The sequence below is a fragment of the Homo sapiens genome, chromosome 14 (assembly GCF_000001405.40).
Source record: "Homo sapiens chromosome 14, GRCh38.p14 Primary Assembly".
Classification (NCBI taxonomy): Eukaryota; Metazoa; Chordata; class Mammalia; order Primates; family Hominidae; genus Homo; species Homo sapiens.
Genome location: NC_000014.9, coordinates 106,048,768 through 106,063,280, shown reverse-complemented (window position 1 = coordinate 106,063,280; position 14,513 = coordinate 106,048,768). Strand labels below are relative to the sequence as shown.

Sequence of the window (14,513 nt, the reverse complement as noted above, 5' to 3'; positions counted from 1 at the left end):
CACAGAGAATTCAAATATTGTTAAGCTGCTTAATAGAAAAACAAATTATGGTAAATGTGTTCACTGGAATACTACCCATGATTTATAATAAATAAATGCCTGACACACAGAACAGCAGCAAAACCACACATGCTCTTATTACAGAAAGTGGCTTCTGAAAACCACACCGGGCATGTACAGCTTTGTCCTGGAGTTGGTTTAGGGGGATGTCAGAGCCAGTGACGAGAAGCACAGGGCCAGATGGCAGCGTTCACTCATCCCAGACATGAGCTCCTGGGTGCATACAGAGCCCCCCCATGTGTGGGTTTACTTCCACTTCTGTAAAAGGAGAAAATACTGACTCCTACAGAGCATAATTTACACATTTTTTAAAAAATGTAATAGGGTGATCAGGGCAAAGTGTTTATCACAGCACAATTTCATAAGACAGCATATTTTCCAAATACCATCATTGTCAGCAAACTTCTGCAGAGCACCGTCTTCTTATATGGGTACAGCCTATTCCTCCAGCATCCCACTAGAGCTTCTTATATAGTAGGAGACATGCAAATAGGGCCCTCCCTCTACTGATGAAAACCAACCCAACCCTGACCCTGCAGGTCTCAGAGAGGAGCCTTAGCCCTGGACTCCAAGGCCTTTCCACTTGGTGATCAGCACTGAGCACAGAGGACTCACCATGGAGTTGGGGCTGAGCTGGGTTTTCCTTGTTGCTATTTTAGAAGGTGATTCATGGAAAACTAGGAAGATTGAGTGTGTGTGGATATGAGTGTGAGAAACAGTGGATTTGTGTGGCAGTTTCTGACCTTGGTGTCTCTTTGTTTGCAGGTGTCCAGTGTGAGGTGCAGCTGGTGGAGTCTGGGGGAGGCTTGGTCCAGCCTGGGGGGTCCCTGAGACTCTCCTGTGCAGCCTCTGGATTCACCTTTAGTAGCTATTGGATGAGCTGGGTCCGCCAGGCTCCAGGGAAGGGGCTGGAGTGGGTGGCCAACATAAAGCAAGATGGAAGTGAGAAATACTATGTGGACTCTGTGAAGGGCCGATTCACCATCTCCAGAGACAACGCCAAGAACTCACTGTATCTGCAAATGAACAGCCTGAGAGCCGAGGACACGGCCGTGTATTACTGTGCGAGAGACACAGTGAGGGGAAGTCAGTGTGAGCCCAGACACAAACCTCCCTGCAGGGGTCCCTTGGGACCACCAGGGGGCGACAGGGCATTGAGCACGGGGCTGTCTCCAGGGCAGGTGCAGGTGCTGCTGAGGGCTGGCTTCCTGTCGCGGTCTGGGGCTGCCTCGTTGTCAAATTTCCCCAGGAACTTCTCCAGATTTACAATTCTGTACTGACATTTCATGTCTCTAAATGCAATACTTTTTTTGTCCTTTTTGTTTCTTTGTTTTTTTGCAACAGGAGTACATATCCTCAGCTCCACAGAAGCCAGGGTGTCACTTTGGGGGCAGAAATAATCCTTTCGTGGTCAACAGGATGAGAGTCCTGAGGAATCCCAGGGAAACCTGGAGAGTGTTTTCCAATTAGACTCAGGGCAGAGACCTCCATGGGAATTTCTGATTAGAACGGGCTTTGAGCTCTGATGGGAGCCAAGAGACAGGCTCACCCAGGGTCGGGGTCCTTAAAGCCTGATGGTTTTCACAGCTATCCCCCCTCGTCTTGTAAACTCAGACTGATTCAGTTGACCCTTTTTCTGCTAATCCATTTTGCTTCTCTGTAGGTTTGATTCTCACAGTTCGCTTTCTTCTTCTCTTCCCTGAGAACAAACGATGTGTTTTCTGTTTTCAGGGAAAATCCCAGGGCTCAGGTCTGCAGGACCTGGGTAGGCTGAGGAGACTTTCTCACTCACCATTGTCTGGACACTCCTGTTGTCTTCTGTGCATGGAGGCATTTGGGAAATGAAGTGGACATTAGTCATTAAGGGAATAATACTAGTTTTCTCCAATTGGATATTGATGTAGAGCTGAACTTGTGCTTCTCACACTGTCACAGAGTTTGGACCCTCACCTATAACTTTGAGGAGAGTTGATGATGGATAGTCCATTGTGGGTGAGCTCTGGGTAACAGTAATTGTAGGGTCTGGCTAGGCAGCCTAAGGTCAATACTTCTGGACCTCAGGAAAGACAGGCTGGAATTCCTGGGAAGACCTGCATCTGCCATCCACCGTGGAGTCCCATCATCTTCTGTTATGCTGTGATTGAATCAGCCCCACCTAGTTTATCTAGAACACTCTTCATGACTTAGGAAAACATAATGGCAAGCTCTCCTAACACCTGTATCATGCCATGGGAGCAACACCTAAGCTAGTGTGTGATTGAGTAGATGAGACTGTGGTCTAGTCAAGACGACAGGTAAAATTGATTGTTGTCATTATGATATTTTATATTTGGCAATATAATCATGCTCATATTATAAATACTTTTGCTACATTTTTTGAGTGTGTCAGAGGCTTTGGAACTGGAACAACTCCATCTTGAATAGGGGCTAGGAAAAATAAGACCGAGACCTGCTGGGCTGGATTCCTAGTAAGTTGATGCAGTAAGTTAGTCACAGGATGAGATAGGAGGTCTGCACAAGATCCAGGTCATAAAGGCCTTGCAGATAAATCTTACAGTAAAGAAGCTGGGCAAAGCCCTCCAAAACCGAGACAGTGGCTAAAATGACCTCAGTTTGTCCTCACTGTTCATTATACTCTAATTATAATGCATTAACATGCTAAAAAACACTCCCTCCAGCCCCAAGACAGTTTACAGTTGTCAAGGCAACATCATGAAGTTTCCTTGTGTGGTTTAAAAAGGAGGGGAGGAACACTCAACTTCAGGAATTGCCTGGAGGACTCATGAATAATCCATCCATTGTTTAACATATAATCAAGAAATAACCATAAAATGGACAACCAGCAGCCCATACTGCTGCTCCACCTCTGGTGTAGCCAGTCTCATTATTTTACTTGCATAAGAAACTTGTTTTCATTTTAATCTGTGGATTTTCCCCAAATTGGGACCCCTTTCTCCTAATATTTGTGCTATTATTCGTGTTCTGAGCAGAAAACCCCAAGATGGAATGAAGTTTCCCTACATTTTTATAAGAAGTACATTCACCCCTTTGAGCGAAAATGCACAGGGAGTGGAATGAGGCTGGGAAGCTAATGGCGTATGATGGAAGCTTGTCCCTGACTGGAGGAGAGAGGGAGGGAGGATTGGGAGGAAGGTTCCTATATTTTTGTGCTATGCAAGGAAGCTGCAAAAGATAACTGAGTCTCGTGTAAGTCAGTGCTACCTCTCAGGGGATCCCTGTGACTCCAAGAAAGGGCTCTTCTTAGGAATCACTGTGGAGTCAGTCCTTTCATTAGAGTAGACCACAGGACATGGGCCTCAGCACACGCCATGCCACAGATGTCAGAAAGCAGCTGCTGGGAACCTGACCCACCTGCATTTTGCTGCCTGTATGTGGAGGGAGGGAGGTGCATTCTCAGGGTCAGCACACTGTTTGTGAATTTTTATAGAGAACCCCTGCTTTTGCTGTATTTTTATTGGAAAATATATGAACAAGTGTGCACCTGCAAACAACTGTAATTTTCACATTTCCTTCAGTTGCATTATTTCTTAATCCTGAATGACGTCCTGACACAGAGTTGAGTTTTTCACAGGCATTGTTCGAAGGATCGAGATGATGCATTTTCCACATTCACTGGTTTTTCTCCATGTGCAGAGACCTTGAGTAGAGCACATCTGGCCCTTACCCACACTATCTCTTGTGTCCCCTGGGAAAGAGCAGAGATTTGCCTGACTGCAGAATCTGGGGTAGGAGTCTGCACACCTCTGAGCCTGCAGAGAAGCTCAGCGAAGTTTTGTGGAGTCAGAGAGCTTTCCCATGTGGGGAACCTCTAGCTTCCTCACTCTCGGAGATTACTGGTCAGCTGTAATTGAGTGGTTAAGAATTAGAGCACCTGGGAGCCTGTCTCATCACAGCTCCATTATGTAACTTACCACCATTAGACTGCGGGTAATAACTCAATCTTGATTTTTCTGACCCGATTTTCTCATCTTATTCATTACTAATTTTGTTTATGGAAAATGTTATGTTTAGTTTATGATTAAAACCTCAGAACTTTCTGAACTTATCAGGAATAATACAAAATGTGTCCAGTTTGGGGGAAATGTAAATGAATGTCCATGCAGTTTGGGTGTGTGTGTGTGCGTGTGTGTGTGCATGTGTGTTTGTTTGTGTGTGTGTGGATATGTCAGTCACTTACACCACAATGAACATGATTGCTGAATTACATAGTCAAACTAAAATTAGATTTGCTGAAAATTGCCTGCAGCGATGTCTGTGAAGCTGACCCTGTCACTTTGCTGTGAAGAAACTCAGTGTACAGGCGAGGTTGCACGGGAGAGCTAAAAGCTTCAGCACACAGGACAGGCTGAGCTCCTGAACTGGAGCCAGGCACAGGACTGAGCACCTGAGAAACAGAACCCCCAGCCCTCCTTTATCTGGGCTGGATGGGCACCAGAGGACCCGCAGGAGATGCTCAGAACTCACACAAGACAGAGCCTCAGTGAGGAGCAGAGGCAGCGAGGAACCAGCCAGGGAGCCTGTGACCGCCACCTCGGGTTGTCTTATTTTGCTTAACAGCATCCAAACCTCAGGAGACCATTTATTACGTTATTTAGACCTCACGCCCTTTCTGTCCCGAAGTAAAACAAACATAAATATGACTCTGCAGTTAGCTCTTTGAACCTGGGTTATTTTTCTGAGAATGTCATCTTCGTCATCAACATCATGGTCATCATGTCAAAATCAACAGGCAAATCCAGTCACCGTGAAGACAGTTTCATGGCATGATTCATACACAATCATTCCATTCTACAGAGAATCTCTTTCAGATTCTTAAGGTGGATTAAAGTGTTATATTTAATTGCCAATTGTGAAATTGGTGGAAGACATTATACTAAAGGAATTGTCTCTGACCTCTCATGGGGTCATATTTCCAGAAAATCATTGTGATCCTGAGTGTGAGCTGACTTTCCAAGTGTTCCCAACCCTCCTCCAGATGAGATGCTGGTCTGTGTGTTCTTGCTCCTTCCCCTGGGGCAGATTCCTCTTGTTTTCCCCAGTTGTTCCCTCCCACAGCTCTCATAATCTCTGTTGGTGTCCCCAACTTCCAGATCTGCTGCCATGACCTGCAGATTAAAGCTCTGATTCCGTAAGAAAGTGAGGGGAGCTGCTTCTCAATAGAGCTTTGATGGGAACCTCTGTTCATACCTCAATTCTTAAGGGGCTGCACCAGTGCCCTAGGATGCTGATTTTCATGGCTTGCTCCTGCAGGGTAATATCTTAGTTTTGTAGTGGGGATCAGAGAACTGGGTCTGGATGCATTTCAGAAGTGTGAGCTCATTCTCTCCCAGACAGATACTATGGGAAAGGAAGATGTTTTGCAGGGGTAAATGATTCAAGAGATTAGGGCAACTCTCCAGTATGAGGTCCCTTAGAATTTCTCACTATAACATGCCTAACACACTCGACTTCAAGCAATCCAGTGTATATTTGTTCTTCATCTTGTAATAGCCTACATTTTATATGACAGCCTCTGCCTCAGGGAATTTCATACTCTGGCTTCATTACTCTCTACAGGAACTTGCCTCTCCCTAGATTTCAAATATTTTGTTTGTTTTCAACCCTCAATTATCTGAAGCATTAAGTAAAATTTGCAAACTTCCATCTTTTCTGTTTATCTGTTATTGTTGATACTATTGTTGTAAGAATGAATATATGGGCCCGGTGCGGTGGCTCATGCCTGTAATCCCAGCACTTTGTGAGGCCGAGGTGGGTGGATCACGAGGTCAGGAGATCGAGACCATCTTGGCTAACACGGTGAAACCCCATCTCTACTAAAAATACAAAAAATTAGCCAGGTGTGGTGGTGCGCACCAGTAGTCCCAGCTACTTGGGAGGCTGAGGCAGGCGAATGGCGTGAACCCGGGAGGTGGAGCTTGCAGTGAGCTGAGATCGCGCCACTGCACTCCAGCCTGGGTGACAGAGTGAGACTCTGTCTCTAAAAATAAATAAATAAATAAATAAATAAATATGTGTGTATATATATATATTTCTCATCTATGTACATTTTTAAGCTTAGCAGCATATTTTTTAGTGAGATCCAGAATAATAAAAGAATCCAAACATTTTTCAGCTGCCTAATAGAGAAACAAATTCTGGTAAATTTTTTCACTGGAATACTACTCAACATTTATAATAAATATATTTCTGGTACACAGAACAACAAGGAAAAGTATCTAAGTATTTATGCTGAGTAAAATAAGCCAGACAAATAAGAATATGTACTATATTACTCCATTTATGTAATTTATTTCAAATGAAAAAAATCTAAAGTAATATACAAAAGATGAGTAGTTACCTGGGAAAAGGGTAGAATAAAGGAAGGGGAAATGTGGAAACATACAGAAGAACAAGAGAAAATGTTGAGGGGAACTCACTTGTCCACCTCAGTAATGATGACGCTTACATCATGTTTTCAATTCTACACTTTAAATACGTGAAGTGTATTATCTGCCAATTAACACTCACAAAATTTATTGCAAGCAAACAAATGAAAAATTAGACCAAAAGCGGTGGTATAAAGATACAAAATATCCATTAAAAGTCAGAAATATCTGAGAATTTACCTCCTGAACCCTAGTTCTCTCCTTATTTTTAGGTGAATGCTAGAGTGCCACAAAAATCACTCAAGTTCTCAATACAGGAAGTGGGTTCCACAAAGCACACTAGGCATGTCCAATTCTTACCTGGAGTTGGTTCAGGGAGTAACTGGGGCCACTGATGTGGAGCACAGGCCAAGCTACCAGGGCTCATTCATCTCAGACATGAGACACACACAGCCCCTCCTCCATGTGTGGGTTTATTTCACATCTGTAAATGGAGAAACCATTGACTTCTACAGAACATAATTTGCACAAATATGTAAAAATATAATAGTGCAAAATGTTTATCACAACACATTTTCATAATAAGACAGTGTATTTCCCAAATACCATAATTGTCACCCAACTCCTGCGGGGCCCTGTCATTTTATCTGGGGTCTGCCGTCTCCTCAGGGTTCCCACCCCAGAGCTCTCTGTGTAGCAGGAGACACGCAAATAGGGCCCTCCCCATGCTGATGAAAACCAGCTAAACCCTGACCCTGCAGCTCTGGCAGAGGAGCCTCAGCCCCGGGATTCCCAGGTGTTTCTGCTTGGTCAACACTGAACATACAGGATTCACCATGGAGTTGGGGCTGAGGTGGGTTTTCCTTGCTGCTATTTTAAAAGGTGATTTATGGAGAACTAGAGCTATTGAGTGTGAATGGACATAAGTGAGCGAAACAGTGGATATGTGTGGCAGTTTCTTACCAGGATGTCTCTGTGTTTGCAGGTGTCCAGTGTGAGATGCAGCTGGTAGAGTCTGGAGCAAACTTGACAAAGCCTGGGTGTCCCAGAGACTCTCCTGTGCAGCCTCTGGATTCACCTTCAGTAGCCATAGCACGCACTGGGTCCCCCAGGCTCCAGGGAAGGGTCTGCAGTGGGTCCCAGTTATTAGTGGTAGTGGTAGTACCATGTACTACGCAGACTCTGTGAAGGGCCGATTCACCATTTCCAGAGACAATACGAAAAACTCACTGTATCTGCAAATGAACAGACTGAGGGCAGAGGATGCAGCTGCATATGACTCTGTGAGAGATACGGTAAGGAGAAGTCAGTGTGAGCCCAGACACAAACCTCCCTTCAGGGTACCTGGGACAACCAGGGAAAGCCTGGGACACTGTGCACTGTGCTGACCCCAGGGGCAAGTGCAGGTGCTACAAGGGCTGGGTTTCCTGTCTTGATCTGGGGCTGCGTTGTTACCAAATTACCCGAGGGAACTTCTCTAGATTTGCAATTCTGTACTAACATTTGATGTCTGTGACTGCTAAACTTCCCTCACATATTTGTTTTTTGTTTGTTTGTTTTGTTTTGTTTTTTGTAACAGGAAGACCCATCCTCACCCCTACAGAAGCCCGAGTGTCACCTTGGGGGCAGAAATGACCCTGCCTTGGTCACATTGATCAGTGTCCTGAGGAAGCCCAGTGGAACCTGGGGAGTGTTTTCCAGTCAGGCTCAGGGCAGAGACCTCCGTGGAAATCTCTGATTAGAATAGGTTTGGGATTCAGACTTGGGCCAAGAGGGAGTCTCACCCATGGGAGGGTCCTTAAATCCTGACAGTTTTTACAGCTGTTCTCCCTCCTCTGGCAAAACTGTGCACATCTGACTCAGAACTGATCCAGCTGGCCCTTACTTGCTAATCAATTTTTCTTCTCTCTACACTTCATTCTCATAGTTCCCTTTTCTTCCCTTCCCAGAAAACAGAGAGTGTGTTTTCTGTGGTCTAAATCTCAGGGCTCAGGCCTGTTACCTGGAACTCAGGTGTGGCCCAGGCTGTGGCTCCTGTGAGACCTGGGGAGGCTGAGGGGACTTTCCCACTCACCATTGCCTGGACCCGCCTGCTGTCTTCTGTGCATGGAGGCATTTGGGAAATGAAGTGGACATTAGTCACTGAGGGGATAATGGTAGCTTTCTCAAATGAGATACTGATGTAGAGCTGATCTTCTGTTTCTCACACTGTCACAGAATTTCCTCCTTCATCTGTGACTTTGGGGAAAGCTAAGGATGGACACTCTATTGTGCTGTGAGCTCTGGGTGACAGCAATTGGAGGGTCTGGCTAGGCAAATCCTACAGGGTTTCAGGTCAATGGAGTTGGAATTTCTGGGAAGACCTACACTGTCATCCTCCATGGAGTCCCATCGTCATCTCTTATGCTCTGATGGAATCAGCCCCACCTAGGTTATCTAGGACAATCTTCCTGACTTAGGAAAAAAATGATGGCAGGCTTTACTAACACTTATATTATAGGATCAGTACAACACCTAGGTTAGTGTGTAACTGAATAAATGACTCTATGAGTCAAGGGGACACATAAAATTGATTGTTGCCATGACATTTATTTATTTATTTATTTATTTATTTATTGGAAACCAGAGTTTTATTGTTACTGAAATGAGTCTCGCCAAGCATTCAAGAATGGGATTTTTTAAGGATAGCTTGGTGGGTTGGGGGCAGCCAGTGAGTCATGAGTACTGATTGATCAGGTCAGAGATAAAATCATAGGGAGCTGAAGGTGTCTTGTGCTGAGTCAGTTCCTAGGAGGGGGCCACAAGATCGGATGAGCCAGTTTATTGATCTGGGTGATGCCAGCTGATCCATCAAGTGCAGAGTCTGTAAAATATCTAAAGCATTGATCTTAGGCTTTATAATAGTCATTTTATCCCCAGGAGCAAACTAGGAAGGGTTAGAATTTGTAGCCACCAGCTGCATGACTCTTAAAACATAATTTCTAATATTTTGGCTAATTCGTTAGTCCCCCAAAGGCAGTCTAGTCCCCAGGACGAAGGAGATTTGTTTTGGGAAAGGGCAGTTATTGTCTCTGTTTTAAACTATAAACTAAACTAAGTTCCTCCCAATGTTAGGTAAGCCTACACCCAGGAATGCACAAGGACAACCTGGAGGTTTGAGGCAAGATGGAGCAGGTTAGGTCACAGCTCTTTCACTGTTTCAGTTGCAGCTTTGCAGTGGTGGCTTCAATTCCTCCCTTTGAGTTTTGACCTTATCGACTTGTTTTGTTTCTCTTTAAGTGATGGTTTTATAACCATCTATGAAACTCTAACAGGTGCTCTTACATGCAGATTTCTGATTAAAAACTCTGAAGATGGTTACAATAGTATAGAGATAAAACTATCAAATAGAAGACTATCTTTTTTGACTTTTCACTTAAAATGTTGCCCAAGAAAACTTTTCTTTTGAGCTATTTATAGCTTTCAACAATTGAGTATAGTCCTGTACATAAAATTTGGAGAATATTTGTTTCTCTCTGTCCACTTTCTCCAGAATTTGGAAACTCTTTGTGAATATCCTTAACTTATGGCAATATGATTTTTCATAAGTGCAGTAAGATTTTTTTTTTTTTGCAACAGGACACAATTGGAGAAACTGGTTATTTTACCAAGGCTTTGACTGTAATGGCGTGCTTCACCTTAAGCAATCGAACTTGACTTATACAGCCAATAAGAGCCCCTTGGGAAAACTGGCCTGTACCTTGTCCACACAGTCTTTGTACAAGGTTCCTGACCAGTGGTAAGTAAAGAATGTCACTTTCTAACAGGCCCAAGAACCCCATGTTTTCCTGGGACCCCAGAGGAAAAATAATTTACCAGACTTACAGGTATTTGATGGTAAAAACTCATGGCTGGGCTTGGCTTTAAAAAAGTCTTATCTGAGATTCCTTATGGAACAGAGTTCCACCAAAGCCAATTTTAAAAGCCTGTGTAAACAATAATTATTTGTATTGTGCTTTATGCAAATAATAAGGCCATGAATAAGACTAAAGTTTATTTTGCAAATAAATCAGTCCTATCTTGATTTGTTTTAAATAAAAATGGGGACAAGAGAGAAAAAAATTATGCTTTAAAAATATAGTACACCTGTTGTTTGCTGTTCTTGTTTTTTTTTCTTCAGCAGTTTGGACGAAATTCTAAATTATTTGTAGGCTACAAAGCCATAAACTAATGCGTTCAAATCTTTACTTTTAAAACTGCGAATTGCACTCCTTACCCTAGTTCTCATTATGTACTTTATAGTATGTTGTTCCCTCAAATGTGGTGCTAGAATTATAGATGACAGCACTGACAGCTTTGCCATGCAAGCCTTGGAACCCCAGGCAGGCCTGCGTGAGTACACTCAGACAGTTGCAATGAGGTTCCAGTCCTCTTATCTTGAGGTCAGCACCTACCCCTACTACGCCCCAGGTCATCAATAAAAAGTTGTAACAGTCTTGGCCCTTCTTACATCTTCATTATCCAACACCATGATTTTTGTTTTTTGCCAAAACAATTGCCAAATATAGTCATAATCATAGGATAAATAATTTTGCTGAAATATATGTGTTATTATTGGTCTTTTGAGATGGAAAGTCCAAGACTGGATTATGCTTTCATGCATTTTTCATAAGAAGTACTTCCACTCTTTTGACAGGAAATGCACAGGGGGTGACATGTGGCTGCAGAAGCTGATGGCATATGGTAGAAATCTGTCCCTGAGTAAAGGAGAGATGGACGGAGGATTGGGTGAAACATTCTTAGGTTTCTGTGCTGTGCAAGGAAGGTGTAAAACATATTTGAGTCTACTACAAGTCAACATTACCCAAGGGGGAACCCCTGTGACTCCAGCAATGACTCTGCCTCAGAATCACTAAAGAGTCCTTCTTTTCATTAGAGTGGACCACAGGATCTGGGCCATAGCATAGACGTCAGAAAGCAGCAGCTTGACACCTGATCCATGTGCATTTTCCTGCCTTTAAAGGGAGGGAGAGAGGTGTATTCTCAGGGTCAACACACTCTTTGTTGATTTTTACACAGAACACTGGCATTTACTTTATTTCATTGAAAGATATATGAACAGATGTGTGTCTGCAAATGATTGTAATTTTCACATTTATTCCAATTGCATAATTTTTAAATTCTGCTTGATGTCCTGGCACACAGTTGTGTTTTCTATAGGTATTTTTCAATAAATCAAGAAAATACATTTTCCACTTTCACTGGCTTTTCTCCATGTGCAGAGGCCTTGAGTAGATCATGTCTGACTATTAGTCTGTTTTCATGCTGCTGATAAAGACATACCAGAGACTTGGAAGTTTACAATAGAAAGAGTTTTATTGGACTTACACTTCCACATGACTGGAAAGGCCTCACAATCATGGTGGAAGGTGAAAGGCACATCTGACATGGTGGCAGACAAGAGAAGAGAGCTTGTGCAGGGATCTCCCTTTTTACAATCATCAGATCTCGTGAAACTCATGCAGTATTACATGAACAGTGCTGGAGAAACCCGCAGCCATAATTCAATGACCTACCACTGGGTCCCTACCATGACACTGGGAATTATGGGAGTTAAATTCAAGATGTGATTTGAGTGGGGACACAGCCAAACCATATTATTTTGCCCCATGGCCCCTCCCAAATCTCATGTCCTCACATTGCAAAACCAGTCATGCCTTTCCTACAGTCCCCCAGAGTCAACTTGTTTCAGCATTAACTCAAAAATCCACAGTCTAACATCTCATCTGAGACAAGGCAAGTCCCTTCCACCTATAAACCTGTAAAGTCAAAAGCAAGTTACTTCCTAGAAACAATGGGGGTACTGGCATTGGATAAACACACCCATCCAAATGACAGAAATTGCCCAAAACAAAGGGGCCCTCTGCAAGTCCAAAATCCAGCAGAGCAGTCAAATATTAAAGCTCCAAAATGATCCCCTATGACTCCATTTCCCAAATCCAGGTCATGCTGATGCAACAGATGGTTTCCCTTGGTCTTGGGCAGCTCCACCCCTGTGGCTTTGCAGGGTACAGCCTCCCTCCTGGCTGCTTTCACAGGCTGGTGTTGAGTGAATGTGCCTTTTCCAGGCACATGGTGCAAGCTGTCAGTGGATCTACCACACTGGGATCTGGAGGATGGCGGCCCTCTTCTCACAGCTGCACTATGCAATACCCCAATAGGGACTCTGTGTTGGAGCTCTGACCCCATATTTCCCTTTCTCACTGGCCTAGCAGTGGTTCTCCATGAGGGTCCCACTGCTGCAGCAAACTTCTGCCTGGACACCCAGGTGTTTTCATACATCTTCTGATACCCAGGCAGAGGTTCTCAAGGACCAGTTCTTGACTTCTGTGTACTCACTGGCTCTACACCATGTGGAAGCTGCCAAGGCTTGGGGTTTGCACCATCTGAAGCCATGGCCTGAGCCCTACATTGGCGTCTTTCAGCCATAGCTGGAGTGGCTGGACACAGGGCACCAACTCCTTAGGCTGCACACAGCACGGGCACCCTGGGCCTGGACCACAAAACCACTTTTGCCTCTTAGGCCTCCAGGCCTGTGATGGGAGGGGCTGCCGTGAAGACTTCTGACATTCACAGGAGACATTTTCCCCATTGTCTTGAGGATTAACATTTGGCTCCTCATTACTTATGCAAATTTCTGCAGCTGGCTTGAATTTCACCTCAGAAAATAAGATTTTCTTTTCTACTGCCTTGCCAGGTTGTAAATTTTCTGAACTTTTATGCTGTTTCCCCTTTAAAACTGAATGCCTTTAATAGCACTCAAGTGGCTTTTTGAATTCTTTGCTGCTTAGAAATTTCTTCTGCCAGACACCCTAAATCATCTCTCTCAAGTTCAAAATTCCACAATTTGCTCCAGTTCCCAATGAGTTCCTCATCTCCATCTGAGACCACCTCAAGCTAGACCTTATTGTTCATATAACTATCAGCATTTTTGTCAAAGCAATTCAACAAGTCTCTAGGAAGTTACAAACTATCCCATATTTTCCGGTCTTTTTCTGAGCCCTGCAAACTCTTCCAATCTCTGCCCGTTACCCAGTTAAAAAGTCACTTCCATATTTTTGGTTATCTTTTCAGCAATGTCTCACTCTACTGGTACCAATTTACTGTATTAGTCTGTTATCACGCTGGTCCCAAGACTGGACAATTCATAAAAGAAAGGTTTATTGGACTTACAGTTCCACATGGCTTGGGAGGCCTCACAATTATGGTGGAAGGTGGAAATCACGTCTCACATGGTGGCAGACTAGAGAAGAGTGCACATGAAGGAAAACTCCCCTTTTTAATCCATCAGATCTCATGAAACTCATTCACTATCACACGAATAGCTCAGGAGAGACCCATGCCCATAATTCAGTCACCTCCCATCAGGTTCCTTCCATGACATGTGGGAATTGTGGAAGTTACAATTCAAGATGAAATTTGGGTGGGGACACAAACAAACCATATCACTGACCTTCTCCGCATCATCTCTCATGACCCCAGAGAAAGAGCAGAGATTTGTCTGGGGTAGGAGCTGCTCCTGTGGAACTTAGAGGCTGCAGACGACCCCAGTGCAGTTTTATGGAGTAAGAGAGTTTTCCCATGTCTGGGAACTTCTAGCATACCCACTGCCAGAGATTGCTGGTTGGCTGTTATTGAGGGGTTCAGAATTAGATCACCTGGTAGCCTATCTCACTGCAGCCCCATTGTGTAACTTACCACCAATGGCCTTCACGTGAGGACTCAATGTTAACTGTTCTGACCTCATTTTCTTACCTCCTTTATTTGTAAGTTTGGTTACAGATTTTTTTTTTACTTTAATTTCAGGGATATGTGTGCTGAATGCGCAGGTTTTAGTTTCTTATTCAAGCCTTATAATTGCTCAACTGATCAGGAATAATACAACATGTATGCAGTTTTGGGGAAATATAAATGAACATCCATGCAAAATTTTTTGTTTGGATATGTCCGTCAGTTACACCCCTATGAACATAATAGCCGGTCCTCACCAGAAATTGCTGGTCCTCACCGATCTCAAAAGCATCTAGA

At 43.8% G+C, this 14,513-nt stretch overlaps 1 pseudogene, 1 gene segment (V, D, J or C) and 1 further gene; all 3 read left to right on the top strand.

Annotated features, from left to right (window-relative positions):
* The window catches only part of IGH (immunoglobulin heavy locus), a 1,293,408-nt gene that overhangs the window by 816,564 nt on the left and 462,331 nt on the right, over positions 1-14,513 (top strand).
* Positions 677-1,132, top strand: IGHV3-7 (immunoglobulin heavy variable 3-7). The segment is given in 2 exon segments: positions 677-722; positions 826-1,132. Coding segments are annotated over 2 exon segments (353 nt in total), but the record flags the coding sequence as incomplete, so codon positions are not given.
* IGHV3-6 (immunoglobulin heavy variable 3-6 (pseudogene)) lies at positions 7,283-7,737 on the top strand (annotated as a pseudogene). The gene is given in 2 exon segments: positions 7,283-7,328; positions 7,432-7,737. Coding segments are annotated over 2 exon segments (352 nt in total).